We start from the raw sequence: 20067 nt of genomic DNA on the forward strand, positions 1-20067 counted from the left end.
TCCAACTAAGTTTTTATTTTTTGTAGAGATAGGACCTTGCTATATTGCCCAGGCTGTTCTCAAATTCCTGGCCTCAAGTGATCCTCCCACCTTGGCCTCCCAAAGTGCTAGGATTACAGGCATGAGCTACCTGCTGGTAGATCACTTCTGGTTGCTGTTATCTGTAAACTAAGAGGTTTCTGCCCTGGAGGCATTTGCAGTCTGGAGGGGGAGATAGAGGGTAAACCTGTAATCCTGTCTGTAAGTAAATGCTACAAATTGCAAGAGGTGCTGAGAGGTGCCACAAGAAAGTCTCCAGGGGAACCTTGAGGCAGAGAGAGGGTCTTGGCTGGCAGCAGTGACTGCTCAGTGGGTGTCTGCAGAAGGTTCAGGCAGAGAGGAAGGGTGGAGGGGCCAACATTGAGAAGCCAGGAAGCCTCAGACTTTCCAACTCCCTGGCCAGAGCATGGCCCTCTGGCCTTTATATTATCCCTGTTCAGTCATTCTCACCCTTAGCTTCATTTGACAACTCTGCTGCATCCACTTGGGTGGTTGAGTTGGAGCCATTTTCACCAGGCAGATGCTGTCTGGGCTGGATGACTGTCCTCCTCTCTGAATAAAGTTGCTTGGGCCTGGTTGGTGATTCTAGGAGAAGAAACCTACAAACAGTGTTCTGATCACAGGTCCTGCTGCCACCAGCCTCAAGAAAGGTAAGTGATGATCAGAGCCAGAGTCCTGTTTGCTGCTAGATATCCTTGTGTGTGTGAATCACTCTCCTTGATCGCACACCCTGTGTGATAAGCATTATTATCCCCATTTTACAGACAAGAAAACTGAGGCAGCTAGAAAGGGCAGCAATTCAGACTCAAGTGTCCTAACTTTAGGTCTGAGCTCCACCCCCAACACTCCCACCAAGGTCACCAATGCTGACCCAATGTGACAAAGCCATGCGTCCTGTGGCCTCAGCTGCCGGCATCTGTCCCAGATGTACACACAGATGCTGTTGGTGATTTAATGGCAGGCCCATTGGAAATTTGGCTTGGAGCCTCCATTGTCTCTGCATTTTGTAACCTGGTCCTGGGCAGGGGGCTGGCGGTGGAGGCCACTTTTCGTGGGAACTCAGGCAAGGAGGAAGTGTGAATCGTCAGACCGGGACCCAGGCCAGGAGAGTGAGAAGAAAGCTGGGGCCTTTGCCAAGGCCCAGGGCCCTCGGGAGCTTCCAGCTGGATGGGGCCTTGTGGGCTGAGCCAGATGTGAACCAGGAACGGCACAGAGTTGCTGGCGACTCATTGACTGCAGGGGAGAGAGACAATGAGTAAGCTGACATGACGGTCCAGAGGGTGGAGTTGCCATCCAGGCACACAGGGGCCTCCCTTCACCCAGGAGAGCAGCTGATCCATTTTGAGGGAGCAGAGAGGAATCTTAGAGGAGGGACTCCTAGTGTGTCCTGACACCCAAGAGATGAACAAAGATGGACTGGGGGAGAAGGGAGAATGGCCTTTCTGGTGGAGGAAACAGCAGGAATAAAGGGCATATCAATGAGGAAATGTCTAACCCATTTGGGGAGCTTCTTTTTATTTTTTTAATTTTTGAGACAGGGTCTTGTTCTGTCTCCTAGGCTGGAGTGCAATGGCACAATCTTGGCTTACTGCAGCCTCAACCTCCTGGGCTCAGATGATCCTCCTACCTCAGCCTCCTGAGTAGCTGTGACTATAGGCTTGTGCTACCATGCCCGGATTTTTTTTTTTTTTTTTTAAGATGGAGTCTCGGCCGGGCATGGTGGCTCATGCCTGTAATCCCAGCACTTTGGGAGGCTGAGGAGGGCAGATCACGAGGTCAGGAGTTTGAGACCAGCCTGGCCAACATGGGGAAACCCCGTCTCTACTAAAGATACAAAAAAATTAGCTGGGCGTGGTGTTGCACATCTGTAATCCCAGCTACTTGGGAGGCTGGGGCAGGAGAATCACTTGAACCCAGGAGGTAGAGGTTGCAGTGAGCTGAGATCATGCCATTGCACTCCAGCCTGGGCGACAGGGCGAGACTCCATCTTAAAAAAAAAAAAAAATGGAGTGTCACTTTGTCACCCAGGCTAGAGTGCAGTGGCACAGTCTTGGCTCACTGCAACCTCCACCTCTTGAGTTCAAGCGATTCTGCTGCCTCAGCCACCCGAGTAGCTGGGATTATCGGCTCGCACCACCACACTCAGCCAATTTTTGTATTTTTAGTAGAGACAGGGTTTCACCATGTTAGCCAGGCTGGTCTCAAACTCCTGACCTCAAGTGATCCACCTGCCTAAGCCTCCCAAAGTTCTGGGATTACAGATGTGAGCCATCGTGCCCAGCCTAATTTTTTTATTTTTTGTAGATACAGGGTCTCACCATGTTGCCCAGTCTGGTCTCGAACTCCTGGGCTCAAGCAATCCTTCTGCCTCAGCCCCCAAGTGCTGGGATTACAGGCGTGAGCTAACGTGCCCAGCCTAGGGAGTTTCATGTAGTCCAGTCTGTCCCAAATTTTACATGTGGAAAACAATGTGGCAAGTAATAAGTTTGGAGATATGGAAAGAGTGCAGGGAGTGGGAGGCCCCGATGCCAAATACTGCATGGGACGTACTCATACTAAAAAAAAAAAAAAAAAAAAAAAAAGGATTTCGTATTTATCTGAAATTCAAATTTAAGTGGACATCCTCTATCTTTATTTGCTGAATCTGACAACTCCAGCCTAGGGCCAATTTGGACCAAATTCCTAGGTAGTGGAAGTCATCAGAGGCTTTTTATTTTACTTTTTATTATTATTTATTTATTTGTTTGTTTTTTTGAGACTGAGTCTCACTCTGTTGCCCAGGCTGGAGTGCAGTGGCATGATCTCTGCTCCCTGCAACCTCTACCTCGGGGTTCAAGAGATTCTGCTGCCTCAGCCCCCCGAGTAGCTAGGATTACAAGCACCTGCCACCATCCCTGGCTAATTTTTGTACTTTTAGTAGAGATAGGGTTTCATCATGTTGGCCAGGCTGGTCTCAAACTCCTGACCTCAGGTGCTTCACCCACCTCAGCCTCCCAAAGTGCTGGGATTACAGGTGTGAGCCACTGCATTTGGCCCCAGTGGCTTTCAGAAGGGAGGTGACAGGATGAGATTTGCGTCTGAGCAGATGGTCAGCAGCAGGACTGAGGGGCAGGACCCAAGCGGGGGAGACCAGCTGGGAGACTGAGGCTGGGCTGAGAGACAGGCTGTGTGGAGGAAGAGTGGGTGGACTGGTCGGGATTTATTAAAGAGGTAAAGGCAGGCCGGGCGCGGTGGCTCACACCTGTAATCCTAGCACTTTGGGAGGCTGAGTGGGTGGATCACCTGAGGTCGGGAGTTTGAGACCAGCTTGGTCAACAAGTTGAAAACCCATTCTCTACGAAAAATACAAAAATTAGCTGGGCGTGGTGCTGGGCACCTGTAATCCCAGCTACTTGGGAGGCTGAGGCAGGAGAATTGCTTGAACCTGGGAGGCAGAGGTTGCAGTGAGCCGAGATTGCACCACTGCACGCCAGCCTGGGCGACAGAGCAAGACTCTGTCTCAAAAAAAAAAAAAAAAAAAAAGGTAAAGGCAGTGAGTCTTGGCAATTAATTGGGTGTGGAAATAGAAAATGGGCAGTCAAGTTTGACATCCAAGTTTCTGGGCCACTAGACAAATGGTGATAACTATTTTCTTTTTTTTCTTTTTTTCCTTTTTTTTTTTTTTTTTTTTTGAGATGGAGTCTCGCTCTGTCGCCCAGGCTGGAGTGCAGTGGCGCGATCTCAGCTCACTGCAAGCTCTGCCTCCTGGGTTCATGCCATTCTCCTGCCTCAGCCTCCCAAGTAGCTGGGACTACAGGCACCTGCCACCAGGCCTGGCTAATTTTTTGTATTTTTTTTTTAGTAGAGACAGGGTTTCACCATGTTAGCTAGGATGGTCTCGATCTCCTGACCTTGTGCTCCGCCCATCTCAGCCTCCCAAAGTGCTGGGATTACAGGTGTGAGCCACCACACCCGGCCTCTTTTTTCTTTTACTTTTTTTTTTTGAGATGGAGTCTTGCTCTGTCACCCAGGCTGGAGTGCAGTAGCACAATCTTGGCTCACTGCAATCTCTGTCTCCTGAGTTCAAACAATTCTCCTGCCTCAGCCTTTCGAGTAGCTGGGATTACAAGTATGTACCACAATGCCCGCCGAAGTTTTTTGTATTTTTAGTAGAGACGGGGTTTCACCGTGTTGGCTGGGCTGGTCTCGAACTCCTGACCTCAAGCGATCCGCCCACCTTGGCCTCCCAAAGTGCTGGGATTACAGGTGTAAGCCACTGCTCCTGGCTGGTGGTGACCACTTCTGAGCTAGAAGTACAGGAGGAGAGGCAGGTTTGGGAGGAAGGAGAAGCAGGGTCTAGCTTCCGTCGTGTGGATCTGAACAGCCTGAGGCCATCCAAGAAGAGATGTCTGGGGACAGCTGGAGATGTAGGTCTGGAATTCAGGTGAGAGGTCAGAGCTGGAGGTTGACATTTGGAAAAGATCAGCCTTTGGAGTGAAATTGAAACCATGGGAATGGATGAACACACTCAGGGAGAGGGTGCAGGGTGAGAAAGGAAGGGAACCAGAACAGACCCCTGAGAATAGTCATGGTTTCGAAGAAGCAGAAGGAAGAGAAGCCAGCACACTGGAAGCAGAGACAGAGACCAAAGAGGTAGGAGAAAGGCAGGAGGGGTCTTTGGGACAAAATATTCCCCCGGCAGATAAAACAGGAGAGCACTGAAAGAAGGAGAGTGAGTTTGACGGTGTCAAGTGCTACCAAGATATCAAATAATACGGAGAAAAAACATAGTCTATTGGATCCAGCTACTGGGGACCTGATAAGGGAAGTTTCAGCGGAGTGGTGAGGGCAGAGGCCAGATTAGAAGGGTGAGCGGGGAGTGGAGGCAAATCTACTCTGGTCATGAGCCGCTTAAACATGGTGGATTGGCCATAGGCATGCATCTGCTTTCCCTCCTCAGACACCACTAACCTGACAGTAAAGGAATAATCTAAGCTGACCTATGATGACAAAGAAGCTGGGAGAGGAGGCATCTGCCAAGTAAAGATTCCAACCAACCTTTGGAAGATGGCATGCTAACAGAGAAGTACCAAGGTCACCAGTGGTTATGACCCAAAGTGCCCATGGAGGAGACACCAAGGCCAATTTGTCCTGAAACATCCCCGAGAGGTCCAAGTCTTGGAGGGAACAGGGTGCAGCTGGAAGTCTGAACATGGAGGAGTTGTCTCCCAAGCCTTCTCCCTATCCCATGCAGCCAGATGACTAAACCCACAGGCCTAAAAACAGCATTTTCTTCCTGGAGGAATTGAACTCAAAAGGCCCCAGACTTGTTCAGACCAGGCACAGCAGAGAACAAGACTGCAAACGGGGATTAGGGATACGCATTCTGAATGGCAGGATTCCAGACTTTTTTCCTTCACCTGCTCCCAGAATGCCAACAGCCCGGGGTGTCTCCTCCATGCCCTACCCCAAGCAAGAGATTGGAGGACTTTTCTTTCTTTCTTTCTTTTTTCTTTTTGAGACAGAGTTTCACTCTTGTTGCCCAGGCTGGAGTGCAATGGCGCGATCTCGGCTCACCGCAATCTTCGCCTCCTGGGTTCAAGCGATTCTCCTGCTTCAGCCTCCTGAGTGGCTGGGATTACAGGCATGCACCACCACACCCAGCTAATTTTGTATTTTTAGAAGAGACGGGGTTTCTCCATGTTGGTCAGGGTGGTCTCGAACTCCCAACCTCAGGTAATCTGCCCACCTTGGTCTCCCAAAGTGCTGGGATTACAGGCATGAGCCACTGTGCCCAGCCTGAGATTGGAGGACTTTTCTTTTTAAGCTGCTAAGTCCCAAAGAATATGCTTTCTGCTGATGGTATGATGAGAGCTCTGCACACACTTCAATCACCTTTCAGTGAAACCCAACTGTGAGAATCGAGCTTCCAATCACCTTTTTAAAGTTCCTTTCACGTTAGTGTTTTTTAAGAGACAACTAGAATTTCTTTTTTCCTTGTTTGGTTTTTGTTTGTTTGTTTGTTTTAGACAACTAGAATTTCTAAAAAGAATCAAATGAGGCTGGGCGTGGTGGCTCATGCCTATAATCCCAGCACTTTGAGAGGCTGAAGTGGGCGGATCACTTGAGGTCAGGAGTTAGTTGGAGACCAGTCTGGCCAACATGGCGAAAACCTGTCTGTATCAAAAAGAACCCACAAAAATTAGTCAGGCATGGTGGCGGTCGCCTGTAATTCCAGCTACTCAGGAGGCTGAGGCAGGAGAATCACTTGAACCAGGGAGGGAGAGATTGTAGTGAGTCAAGATCGTGTCATCGCACTCCAGCCTGGGTGACAGAACGAGACTCTGTCTCAAAAAAAAAAAAAAAAAAAAAGAAAGAAAGAATCAAATGAATATTCTAAAACTAAAAAATTACATGCTGAAAATAAGCATCCAAGGCCAGGCGTGGTGGCTCATGCCTGTAATCCCAGCACTTTGGGAGGCCGCGGTGGATGGATCACCTGAGGTCGGGAGTTCAAGACCAGCCTGGCCAACATGGTGAAACCTTGTCTCTACAAAAATACAAAAATTAGCCAGGCGTGGTGGCGGGTGCCTGTAATGCCAGCTACTTGGGAGGCTAAGGCGGAAGAACCACTTGAACCTGGGAGGTTGCAGTGAGCCAAGATTGTGCCATTGCACTCCAGCCTGGGCGACAGAGTGAGACTCTGTCTCAAAACAAAACAAAAAAAAAAGAGGAGAGAAAGAAAATAAGCACTCCATAGATGGGTTTCACAGAAGATTGGAAACAAGTAAAGCCAGGACTAGCATACTGAAAGATGGGTGTGATTAAAACTATCCAAACTGAAGCATAGAAAAAAAAAGTAAAAATAAAACATAAAAGAGCATAAGACATAAATACAACACACATGAAAGATCTAACATAATATAAATATGGTTTGAGAAAGAGAAAATTAGGAAGAAGCAATATGTTAAGAGATAAAGACCAAAACTTTTCTGAATCTAACAAAAGACATCATACTATAAATTCAATAAGCTCAGCAAACCCAAAACAAAATATAGACAAACGAGCTACATTAGAGTACATCAGAATAAGATAGTCAGAAACCAAAGGCAACGAGAAAATTTTAAAAGCACCATAGGACAGCCAGGTGCAGTGGCTCACACCTAGGATTACAGAATCCTAGCACTTTGGGAGGCTGAGGCAGGAGGATTGCTTGAGTCCAGGAGTTCAAGACCAGCCAGGGTAACACAGCAAGACCTCATCTCTACTAAAAATTAAAACAATGAGCCAGGCATAGTGGCGTGAGCCTGTGATCCCAGCTACTTGGGAGGCTGAGGTGGGAGGATCGCTTGAGCCTTGGAAGTTGAGGCTGCAGTGAGCTGTGATTGTGCCACTGCACTCCAGCCTTGACAACGGAGAGAGCCCCTGTTTCAAATAGAAGTAAAGTACCACAGGAAAGATGTATTTCCTTGAATATTTACCCTCACCCTCATCCCTAGAAATAGCAGCTGTTATCTACTTTTTTTTGTTTGTTTTTGAGACAGTTTTGCTCTGTCTCCTAGGCTGGAGTGGAATGGCGTGATCTCAGCTCACTGCAACCTCTGCCTCCCAGGTACAAGTTATTCTCATGCCTCAGCCTCCCAAGTAGCTTGGATCACAGGCATCTGCCACCACGCCCGGCTAATTTTTTTTTTTTTTTTTTTAGCAGAGACAGCATTTCACCATGTTGGCCAGGCTGGTCTCGAACTCCTGACCTCAAGTGATCCTCCCACCTCAGCATCCCAAAGTGCTGGGATTACAGGTGTGAGTCACTGCACCCAGCCTTTACTTTGTTATTTTTAAATTCCTTCAAGTCCTCCCTTACCTCCTTAGTGGTTAACTACCATGTTTCCTTTTCTCTTTTTAAAAAATTTTCTTTGAGAGAGTCTCACTCTGTTGCCAGGCTGGAGTGCAGTGGTGTGATCATGGTTCACTGCAGCCAGGACCTCCCGGGCCCAAGCGATCCTCCCACCTCAGTCCCCCAAGTAGCTGGCACTACAAGCATGGACCACCACGCCTGGCTAATTAAAAAAAAATTTTTTTTTTTTTGAGATGGAGTCTTGCTCTGTTGCCCAGGCTGCAGTGCAGTGGCAAGATCTCAGTCCACCTCCCAGGTTCAAGCAATTCTCCTGCCACAGCCTCCCAAGTAGCTGGAACTACAGGCACGCGCCACCATGCCCAGCTAATTTTTGTATTTTCAGTAGAGACAGGGTTTTACTATGTTGGCCAGGCTGGTCTCGAACTCATGACCTTGTGATCCGCCCACCTCAGCCTCCCAAAGTGCTGGGATTATAGGCGTAAGCTACCTCGCCTGGCCAAAAGATAGAAGAATTTTTTTTTTTTTGGTGGAGTCTCACTCTGTTGTCCAGGCTGGAGTGCAATGGCACAATCTCGGCTCACTGCAACCTCTGTCTCCTGGGTTCAAGCGATTCTCCTGCCTCAGCTTCCCGAGTAGCTGGGATTACAGGCGCCTGCCACCACGCCCAACTAATTTTTGAATTTTTAGTAGAGACGAGGTTTCATCATGCTGCCCAGGCTGGTCTTGAACTCCCCACCTCAGGTGATCCTCCCACCTTGGCATCCCAAAGTGCTGGGATTCCAGGCATGAGCCACTGCACTCGGCCAAAAAAAAAAAATGTTTGTTTTGTCAAGTCGAGATCTCCCCATGTTGCACAGTCTGTTCTTGGCTCAAGCGATCCTTCCTCCTTGGCTTCCCAAAGTGCTGGGCTTACAGGCATTAGCCACCACATTTGGCCAAGTCCAAGCTTTCAACCACACCAGCAGATACAAAATAAGGTTTTCAGGTTCTGTCTGCTGTTCTTTCTACGGAGGCTCACTGCTGGGGACAAATTGGGCTCCCGGCAAAGAGCCCCTCCCACTGACTTCCTCTTCTGGGAGAAGAAAAACAAGAAGGGCAATGAAAAGTGGGACAAGCTGCAGCTATTCCTACCATCTCTTCCCACCCACTGAATCTCACCACAGAACAAGCAGCTGCAAGAGAAAAGGACTGGCCTTGTCTCTCAGGGGTCGGTCCTGCAGAGGGTGGGCTCACGATGCCAAGGGAGAAATATGGTGGTAACAGCATGGACCGGACCTGGGTTGGGCTCCAGGCACTGGCTTTTATTTTATTTTATCTCATTTTTTTTGAGATGGAGTTTCGCTCTTGTTGCCCAGGCTGGAGTGCAATGGTGCCATCTCGGCTCACTGCAACCTCCGCCTCCCGGGTTCAAGCAATTCTCCTGCCTCAGCCTCCTGAGTAGCTGGGATTACAGGCATGCGCCACCATGTCCAGCTAATTTTGTATTTTTAGTAGAGACAGGGTTTCTCCATGTTAGTCAGGGTAGTCTCAAACTCCTGACCTCGGGTGATCCGCCCGCCTCGGCCTCCCAAAGTGCTGGGATTACAGTTGTGAGCCACCACACCTGGCCTGATACTGGCCTTTTAAAGGGCAAAGCCATCCAATCCTCCAGGAAAACATGGGGAAGGAGAGTTCCAACATTTCCTGAGCACCTCCATGTCCGGCACTGAGCACATTCCATCTTTTCTCTCTCTCGCTCCTGACATTGACCTAGAAGGCCTGTCTGACATTAATTTGCCCCGGAGGCCTGAGGATGGTGTCAGCCTGCAGACTGCTGCTGTTCCTCAGCTCTCTTCTGCCCTGCTCGCCTCCCTCTATAGTCCTCAAGGCCCATCTGCAACCACTATCCCATCCATACCTGAGGTTGCCCTGGCTCTGACACTTGCATGACATTTGGGAGCTGCTCTAATGCCACCTTCTGGCTGGTACTAGAAAGATGAGGACCTGGCCAGGCACAGTGGCTCACATCTGTAATCCCAGAACTTTGGCAGGCCGAGGGGAGCGGATCACCTGAGGTCGGGAGTTTGAGACCAGCCTGGCCAACATGGTGAAACCCTGTCTCTACAAAAAATGCAAAAATTAGCCAGGCATGATGGCACATGCCTATAATCCCAGCTATTCGGCAGGCTGAGGAAGGAGAATCACTTGAACCCGGGAAGCGGAGTTTGCAGTGAGCCAAGATTGTGCCATTGCACTCCAGCTTGGGTGACAGAGCAAGACTCTGTCTCAAAAAAAAGAATAAAGGAAAAAAAGACGAGGACCCGGTCGTGGCTTCAGCCTCTCTGACCCAGGCCAGAGGGCCCAGCAATCCAGTTGTACATTGTCTGATTGGTTGGTTGATTGGTTGGTTTGCTCCCTGCCTTGCTGCAGAGAGGACCTCAGGCAGCTTCCAAGGATGCGTGATACACAACCAGAGCAGAAAAAAAGAGTAGGGGGAAAACAAGAAAGTAGCACAAGGGTGGGAGCACAGAGGATCCAGGAACAAAGCTAAAGTGCAGAACATAAGGATCTACTGTGGGGGAAACAGACCACAGACTCAGGATTTTTTTTTTTTTTTTTTGAGATGGAGTCTCACTCTGTCACCCCGGCTGGAGTGCAGTGGCCTGATCTCTGCTCACTGCAACCTCCACCTCCCAGGTTCAAGCGATTCTCCTGCCTCAGCCTCCCGAGTAGCTGGGATTACAGGTGCACACCACCACGCCCAGCTAATTTTTGTATTTTTAGTAGAGACGGGGTTTCACCGTGTTGGCCAGGCTGGTCTCGAACTCCTGACCTCAGGTGATCCACCCACCTCGACCTCCCAAAGTGCTGGGATTACAGGCATGAGCCACCATGCCCGGCCAGGATTTTTTTTTTCTAACTTCTTAATTTTATTTTATAAAGAGAAGGGTCTCACTGTGTTGCCCAGGCTGGTCTCAAATTCCTGGCCTCAAGCTGTCCTCCCACCCCAGCCTCCCAAAGAGCTGGGATTATAGGTGTGAGCCACCTGTAATCCTGGCCAACTCAGGTAATTTTGAAGATGGCTTTTATGGTCTACTTGGGCACAAAGGAATGCGGGGAACATCCACCAGCCATGGCTGGGTGACAACTCATGTTCGTTCTCAGCCTATCAGTTTTACACGTTCTCTTTATAAATGATTTCACACACACACACGCACACACATACATACACTCACCACCTCCTTCTGGAGCTCATGTTGAGATGTACAGGGGAGGGAGACCCTTGTAACACAGATTTGAAAAATAATTCAGATATGCATCTTGAAAACAAGGAGAGGCCAGGCGCAGTGGCTCATGCCGATAATCCCAGCACTTTGGGAGGCTGAGGCAGGAGGATCACCTGAGCCCAGGAATTTGAGACCAGCCTGGGCAACATAGTGAGACCTTGTCTCTACAAAAATTTAAAAAGTTAGCTGGGTGCAATGGTGTGTGCCTGTAGTCCCAGCGACTTGGGAGGCTGAGGCGGGAGGATCACTTGAACCTGGGAAGTCAAGGCTGCAGTGACCTGTGACCAGGCCACTGCATTCCAGCCTGGGCAACGGAGTGAGAGCTTGTCTCAAAACACAAAACAAAACAAACAGAGAGAGTTTCAGTAAACAAAATAAAGTATTTGTGTGAAAAAAGATTCAGATACACATTTGAAAAGAAAGTATTCTTTTGGAAGACAAAGGGAATATGATTCTGAAGGAGTGAAACATGAAGGATATTTCTATTGGTTGAGCTTGTAACTTTTGGGCCATGTGGCATGATGTTCTTTTGCTATGAGGGGCTGTATTCCCTCATCACTATACTTTTGCCACACATTGACTTTAAGCTTCCTAGCAAGTGGTGTGAAAAGGGAAATGTGGCCACTTACACAATGTCCAAAGTCTAGGAAGGATGACAAACCAATTGCTTAGGAGAAGCAGGACGCTGGTACTGAGATAGGAATAAGGTGCCCCTGGGCCCAATGGAGGGTTCCAGGGGAAGATGACAGAGCGGAGGGTGAAGAATGCCCTCGGTGACAGCCTTCCCATCACGCCAATCCAAAGACAGTACACCGCTTCCAAGGAGGCCAAGACCATGTGGGCTGCATGGCCCACTCTCTGCTGGCCTAGCCTTTCCCCTGGAGGTGTTTAGACTATCAAGATACAGACCCTATCTCTACAAAAACAACAATTATAATTAGCAGGCGTGGTGACACACACCTGTATTCCCAGCTAATTGGGAGGCTGAGGTGGGAGGATTGCTTCAGCCCGGGAGGTTAAGGCTGCAGTAAGCCATGATCATACCACTGCACTCCAGCCTGGGTGACAGAGTGAGATCCTGTCTAAAAAACAAACAAAACCCCCCCATACACAAAAAACTATCAAGAGGGTTGGTTCCCCTTCAGAGGACTTGATTTTTTGATTTATGGGACTCTGTGAGTACTTTGAGTTTGTGGTCCCTGTGGAAGCCTGGGAACTGAGTCTTTCTCTTAAGCCCCGAGCTGTCTGGAAAGGTACAGTCTCATTCATCTGCCTTCCAGCATCACTAGCTCCAGGGCTCCTCCCTGGAATGGAGGCCTCTGTCACCCTGCCTGGGTGGTCCTGCTATCAGGACACTGTACCAGGCTCCGGTGAGGGTCTCAGCCCCATAACCACCGAGTCACTGTCTCAGGCTCTTGGTTCCTTCCAGGCTGTGGTGAGGTCCCTCTGTTTTGGTTTGGCTGAGGTGGTTGAAATGAACAGGACTGCTCTGACCAGCTCACAGAAGGGGAAGTGGATGGCACGAGCACAGGTAGGGCAGCCAGGGAGCAGAGATTCTCTCAACACCCCCAAATCTCCAAATCAGGGTGCCTTGGGATGCAAATGGCAAAAATCCCAAGCTAACCTCGAGCAAAAGAAGGAAGAGGAGGAGGTATTGGCTTATCTGGCTTCAGGTACTGCTGGATCCAGCACTCCATCTTGCTTCCCTCATCTGCCTCCTCCCTGCTCATTCAACCTCTGGCTCAATCCCACCCTCTCAGCTGCCAGTGAGCAGTTTTTCTCTTCTTATCAGTTCTAACCATGGTCCCAGCCAGACACAAGTCTCACTGAGCCAGATGAGGTACCCGGCCCTTCTCTGAACCAATCACCACAGCCAGGGGGAAAGAATTACACTGATTGCCTAGGTCTGTGTCTCCACCCACTTCTAGGCAACTCAATCCCCTAGACTAAGGTTTTAGGAGTTCCTTAGGGAAAATGGACATCCAGAAGAGAGGCTGATAGGCAGAGACAGATCCATCCTTTCTATCCAGGAAGCCCAATACCGCTGGGCTCCCAGAGCCAGGGAGCTGGTGGGGGGCTGAGGTGGGCCCTGCAGGGCTATGGCATTCTGCTTCTCTCCTGTGCCTTTCCTCTCCTTTCTTTGGTGGCCCTTCTATTTCCCCTCCTAGTCCCTAGTCTGCCAATATGGAGACCCAAGCCACCCCAGGGCCAGGTGACACAAGCTCATGGAATCAGTCCATCTGGGTTTGAATCTTGGCTCTGTGTTTCTTAGCTGAGGGACTTGGGACACTTCACTTCATCCATCTGAATCTCATTGTCCTCCCCTGTGAAGTGGGCCAGGACAGGGCCACCCTCGTGGGTGGTGGCTGCCAGAGCTTCATGAGATAAGGCATTAAGAACACTTAGCAGAAGCTGCTGTGGAAAACAGTCTGGCGGCTCCTCAAAAAGTTAAACATAGAATTACCATATGATCCAGCAATTCCACTCTTGGCTATAGACCCAAAATAATTGAAAGCAGGGACTCAAACAGATGTCTGCACACCATCATTCATAGCAGCATTAGTTACAACAGCGAGAAGGTGGAAATAACTCAAGGTCACCAACAGATGAATGGATAAACACGATGTGCTAATGTTGACAGGGCTCAGGGCAGGATACCCCCGATACGGCATCTTGGCTTTTTTTTTTTTTTTTTTTGAGAAGGAGTCTCGCTTTGTCACCCAGGCTGGAGTGCAATGGCATGATCTTGGCTCATTGCAACCTCCGCCTCCCCAGTTCAAGTGATTCTCCTGCCTCAGCCTCCCGAGAAGCTGGAATTACAGGTGGCCGCCACCATGCCCAGCTAATTTTTTGTATTTTTAGTAGAAACGGGGTTTCACCATATTGCCTAGATTGGTCTCAAACTCCTGACCTTGTGATCCACCTGCCTCGGGCTCCCAAAGTGCTGGGATCACAGGCGTAAGCCACTGCGCCAGGCCCATCTGGGCATATTGACTATTTCAAGCTGAAGGAATTTGAGAAATGGCATGTTCAGGAAAGACTTTCTGACCTTCCCCTGTCAGGTCATAAAACCCACTTGTGAGAGGTGCCCTCTCTCTACCCAGAGGAAAGGAGCCTCCTAAACTCTGAAGATGAAAGGATGTCAAGAGGAATCTGAATGAACAGGCCTCAGTAAATTTCCCCTAGCTGATTACACTCAGCTCTTTGTCTATCCCATTCTTCCGTGACTTTCTGCTTTGTCGAACCTACCATAAAACCAGCCTGGGCAACACAGTGAGACCCCCATCTCTACAAAAACACAAAAATTAGCTGAGTGTGGTGGCACGCACCTGTAGTCCCAGCCACTCAGGAGGCTGAGGTGGGAGGATCACTTGAGCCCAGAAATTCAAGGCTGTGGTGAACCATGAGTGCGCTACTGCACTCCAGCAGACAACAGAGCAAGACTCTGTCCCAAAAACAAAAAATAAAAAACCTAGCATAAAAACAGTCAGGTTTAATGGCTTCTTTGCGTCTTCATTTCTTTATGAAAGCTCCTGTATTACATAGAACTTACATAAAACTCATCTGAAATAAATTTATATGCTTTTCTCTCTTTTTTTTTTGAGATGGAGTCTTGCTCTGTTGACCATGCTGGAGTGCAGTGGCGCAATCTCGGCTCACTGCAACCATTGCCTCACGGGTTCAAGCAATTCTCCTGCCTCAGCCTCCCAAACAGCTGGGACTATAGGCACAAACACACCACCATGCCTGGCTAATTTTGTATTTTTAGTAGAGACAGGGTTTCACCATGTTGGCCAGGCTGGTCTCAAACTCCTGACCTTGTGATCCGCTCGCCTTGGCCTCCCAAAGTGCTGAGATTACAGGTGTAAGCCACTGCACCTGGCCCTGTTTTTTTGGGACAGGGTCTTGTTCTGTCACCCAGGCTGGAGTGCAGTGGTGTGATCTCGGCTCACTGCAGCTTCTGCCTCCTGGGTTCAAGAAATTCTCCTGCCTCAGCCTCCTGAGTAGCCGAGACTACAGGTGCCCGCCACCACACCCGGCTAATTTTTTATATTTTTGGTAGAGACAGGGTTTCACCATGTTGGCCAGGCTGGTCTCGAACTCCTGACCTCAAGTGATCACCCTGCCTTGGCCTCCCAAAGTGCTGGGATTACAGGCATAAGCCACTGTGCCCGGCCAGTCTCTCATCTTTAATATATATATACACAAACACACACACACACACACACACACACACACACACACACACACACACAGACATATAAATTCGTCAGGGTTCTCCAGAAAGACAGAACTAGTAGGATACGTGTGTGTGTGTGTGTGTGTGTGTGTGTGTGTGTGTGTGTATACATATATATATATATATATATGAGTTTATTAGAAAGATAAACTTTCAGTTTAAAAATCAGGAAAGTCCTGGGCAAGGCGGAGTGCTTGGTCACCTGGCCTGCTGCTCAACTCTCTTGGTTTCCCAGTTCCACAACTCAGCAGGATATTGGTTTGGTTCAGCTCATTTTTCCTAGCCAAGCCACTCAGGTCACTAACAGACCTGCAAGGGTGTCCTTGGGGCAGGGGCTGACCCCTGGTAGGGGGCCTAGGGTCACGTGGTGGGGCATCCCTTTGAAAGGCCTGTGGGTGAAGCAGAAGCAGAATGGCTTCAGGGTAAGACCCCACCTGGGAAGGTTGGTGGCCACTGACCTCAAAGCTAGCACTTTGGAAAGCAGCCCAGTGGTGAGAGCAGGGGGACATCAGGCTTTCAATCTGCCCAGCTCAAGCCTGTGTTCCTCAGCCAGGTGCACCTGCCTGTGATCCCATTTACTTTGGAGGCTGAGGCAGGAGGATCACTTGAGGCCAGTTAGAGACCAGCCTGGGCAACATGGGGACACCCTGTCTCTACAAAAATTTTTGTAAAAATTATCTGAGAATGGTGGTGCATACCTGTAGTCCCTACTACTGGGGAGGCTGAGGTGGGAGGATGATATGATCCCAGGAGTTTGAGGCTGCAGTGAGCTGCTACACTCCAGTGTGGGGGACAGAGCAAGAGCCTGTTAAAAAAAAAAAAAAAAGGCCAGGTGTGGTGGCTCACGCCTATAATCCCAGCACTGGGAAGCTGAGGCCAGCGGATCACTTGAGGCCAGGAGTTTGAGACCAGCCTGGCCAACATGACAAAACCTTGTCTCTACTAAAAATACAAAAATTAGCCGAGCATGTTGGCAGGTGCCTGTAATCCCAGCTACTTGGGAGGCTGAGGCAGGAAAATTGCTTGAACTGAGGCGGAGGTTGCAGTGAATCGAAATGGCACACTGCACTCCAGCCTGAGCAACAGAGCAAGACTCCGTCTCAAAAAAAAAAAAAAAAAAACATGCTCCAATTCGTTTACCGGTCCCTTCCCCCACCCTCCTTTGCCCTGATATCACAACTTTGCCCAGAAAGGACTCAGAGACCCCGCCCCTGTACTTGGGCGTGACAGTGCCCTGGTGTGAGGGGGCATCTTCCGCTGACCACCCGACTGACCCCATCCTCTGGTCCCTACTGTACGCTGTGAGTTACAACAGTGACCATGACCATAGGGCCTACTATGTGCAGGGTGCTCAACAGCCCTCACATAAGTGTCACAACAGTCCTGGAAGGTCCCTCACAAGCGAGGAAACTGAGGCAGGAGCCACGAGATCACTGGCCTGTCTGTGGCTGAGCCAGACTTGAACCTGGTCTGTCTGACTCCAGAGCACGTGCTTTTTCCGACACTTCCTGCCCCCCAGAGTCATCCCATTCCGGAATCCAGGCTCTGGGATCCCAGGGCCTCAGGGACTGGGCACCGTCCCCCCAACCACCGCCGAGGAGTGGGCGTTTCTACAGCCTTCTCCGTGGGCCTGCGACCCCCAGTGCGAGGGGAGGGCCGCTGGGGGCTCTGGAAACCCCCTCTTCCATGGGTGGGAGGCGAGGGGCTGAGGCGCAGCGCTGGGCTGGGCCCAGGCCGGCTTCGCCCACACCTGGGATGGAGGCGGAGGCGCTCCGGGTGTTCTGCAGGCGGGAGGCTTTCCACCCCGCTGGCCCCTCACGTCGGCGCATCCTCATGGGATCCTCACGAGGAGCGAGTGAGGTGGGCTCCATTCTTATTCTTTCCCCTGGCAGGAGGCGAGCAGAGGCTCCGGACTCCACAGGTGGCGCGTGGTGAGTAGCCAAGATGAGCTCAGGCAGCCTCTCCAAAGCAGGGGCGCTAACCTGGCCACCTCTCACACCCTGGCTCCCTGCTGGCCCTCTCCACCCCCGCCCGGTCCCTAAGGCCACATCTCTTCCCCGTCCTCGGCCAGCTCAGCCCAGGCCGTCCCTCCCTATGCCCGCCAGGGGGAGTGCGAGCTCCTTGCAAAGACCTCAGGAGGCCGCTGGGAAGGTCTGGACAGGCCAGGCGGGGCGGGAAGCAGGAGGACCCGCGGGGCGGGGACCGGAGCCGCTGGGAGGCCGCCCAGTTTGACGTCCTGCTCCTGCCCAGGCCTCGCCAGGCCCCGGCCCTCCGCAGGCCTCAGTTCCCTTGTCTATAAAATGGGAGGTGGAGCCCTTGGGAGCAGAGCTGCTCACCTTTTAAGAGCATGTGAGTCACCTGGGAATCTTTTTAAAGGCAGATTCTGATGCAGTGGATCTGGGGTGGGGCCTGGGAAGCCGCATTTCTAATGAGCTCCCAGGTAAGGTCCATGCTGCTGGATCCTGGATTCATCTCTCTTTTTTTTGTTGTTGTTTTGTTTTTTGAGACGGAGTTTCACTCTGTCGCCCAGGCTGCAGTGCAGTGGCGCGATCTCGGCTCACTGCAACCTCTGCCTCCTGGGTTCAAGTGATTCTCCTCCTTCAGCCTCCCGAGTAGCTGGGATTACAGGCGCCTGCCACCATGACTGGCTAATTTTTGTATTTTTAGTAGAGACGGGGTTTCAGTATGTTGGCCAGGCTGGTCTCGAATTCCTGACATCAGGTGATCCACCCGCCTCGGCCTCCCAAAGTGCTATTACAAGCTTGAGCCACCGCACCTGGCCTCTGGATTCATCTCTAAAGGACCCGCCAGCTCCGATGACAATTTGTTTTTTTGGGTTGAACGAGGAAGACCTGCCTGTGTCCCAAACCCTTCTGAAGAAGTGGCTGTTCATGTGGTCATTAACTTATTCCCTCATTCATTCATTCAACAAGCATCCTCTGAGCCTCTCTCTGTGACAGGTCCCTGCCTGGTGCCAGGGATATAGAAATAGACAAGATCCTGTCCTGCCCTTGAGGAACTCATGGACACAAGAACCAGAGATTAGCACCCAATGTGATCAGTGCTGGGGGAGAAAGAAGCCCAGGGCAGAGGTGCGAGAATACCAGAGGAGCCCCTCACTAGACATGTGAGGAGGTCAGGGAAGGCTTTTGGGGGAGAAGACCCCTCCCCCTCCCCCTCCTTTGTTTTTTATTTTTGAGAAAAGATCTTGCTCTGTCACCCAGCAATCACTGCTCGCTGTATCCTCAACCTCCCAGGCTCAAGCTCAGCCTCCTGAGTAGCAGAGATTACAGGTGAGTGCCACCACCCGGCTAATTTAAATTTTTTTTTTTTTTTTGTAAAGACAGAGTCTCACAATGTTGCCCAGGCTGGTCTCAAACTCCTGAGCTCAAGGGATCCTCCTGCCTTGGCCTCCTAAAGTGTTGGGATTACAGGTGTGGGCTCCACCTCCTCTTGATGAATGGGCAGAAGAGCACCAGGCAAAGGGGAGGGGAGGGAAAGGGTTTTCCAGCAGAGGAACGGGCATATACGAGGCCCTGAGCAGAGAAAGCCAGGCCATGGGGGTAAAGTGGTTATGCAGTGAGAGGGGCTGCACACAGACACACAAGAACACATAAACCCCTCACATAAAGCAAACACGCAAACACACCAGCACATACATACACCCCCTCAGAGGTGCAGATGTGGGTAGGAAGCTGCACCCTGAAAGAGAAGAGAGTTCTTATTCGGGAACTTCAGTGAGCTCCGACTGGAGTGGGTTGTTGTAGGACGGTTTCCTTAGCAATCCCCTGCTTTCCTCCCCAAATACTCTCCAAGGACCGCTTCCAGGGCTCTTTCAGCTCCACCGCTGAGGCTCCCCTGGCTGCCAAACTCCAGAGTCTACCCCTGCCCCATCTCCCTTCTCCACTCCCATCCTCAACTCCGGGCCCCCAGCTCTGAAGAACTGACCCCAGGGAGTGTCCTGTCACATACGGGCCCACTCTCATCCCCACCCCTCTCTGCCCCTGTCGCTACCTGCTTTTCCCTACCCCTGGCCCCATGCTGTCCCTCCAGCAACTTTGAGAGGCAGATCTGATTTGCGCCTTTGTTTTTGTTTTTGTTTTTGTTTGAGATAGGGTCTTGCTCTGTCACCCAAGCTGGAGTGCAGTGGCGTGATCTAGGCTCACTGCAACCTCCGCCTCCCAGATTCAAGCAATTCTGCCTCAGCCTCCCAAGTAGCTGGGACTACAGGCTTGTGCCACCACGCCCGGCTAATTTTTGTATTTTTAGTAGAGACAGGGTTTCGCCATGTTGGCCACGCTGGTCTTGAACTCATGACCTCAGGTGATCCACCTGCCTCGGCCTCCCAAATTGCTGAAATTACAAGTGTAAGCCACTGTGCCTGGTCTAGGCCACTGGTCTTACTGTTTGTTTTCTATTTGTCCCACTTACACGGTTATTTTTCTCTCTTTTCTTGCCTTCTCTTGCCAGCCTACACCAACGTACCCAGCAAAAAATACTCTTCAAAAACAAAGGTGGCCTCTTCTAGAAGATCTGATTTTATAAAAAGAAAAAGAAAATTTTTTTTTAAATTCAAGTGAAACTGAGACATTTCATACAAATAAAAATGGAAAGAATTTATCACCAGCACGTCCCCATCAAAGAATTAGCAAAGGGTGATTTTCAGGCAGGAGAAAATGGATCCC

The 20067-nt window shown here is 50.4% G+C and overlaps 1 long non-coding RNA gene across 1 annotated transcript in view, besides 1 other annotated feature; it reads right to left on the bottom strand.

The window, feature by feature from the left end:
* The window catches only part of LOC107987016 (uncharacterized), a 38337-nt gene continuing 18270 nt past the window's right edge, over window positions 1-20067 (bottom strand). Inside the window, exon 2 of the long non-coding RNA XR_001746560.2 lies at window positions 1-1272. This is a non-coding gene — a long non-coding RNA (uncharacterized LOC107987016). The remainder of the gene's footprint in view (window positions 1273-20067) is intronic.
* Window positions 17523-17572: a silencer, noted in NCBI's record as "silent region_20237". NCBI's record gives its function as "represses an Ori minimal core promoter by ATAC-STARR-seq in GM12878 lymphoblastoid cells {active_cell/tissue: GM12878}" and the evidence as "EXISTENCE:reporter gene assay evidence [ECO:0000049][PMID:35858748]".

This window comes from Homo sapiens, chromosome 9, assembly GCF_000001405.40.
Source record: "Homo sapiens chromosome 9, GRCh38.p14 Primary Assembly".
Taxonomy (NCBI): domain Eukaryota; kingdom Metazoa; phylum Chordata; class Mammalia; order Primates; family Hominidae; genus Homo; species Homo sapiens.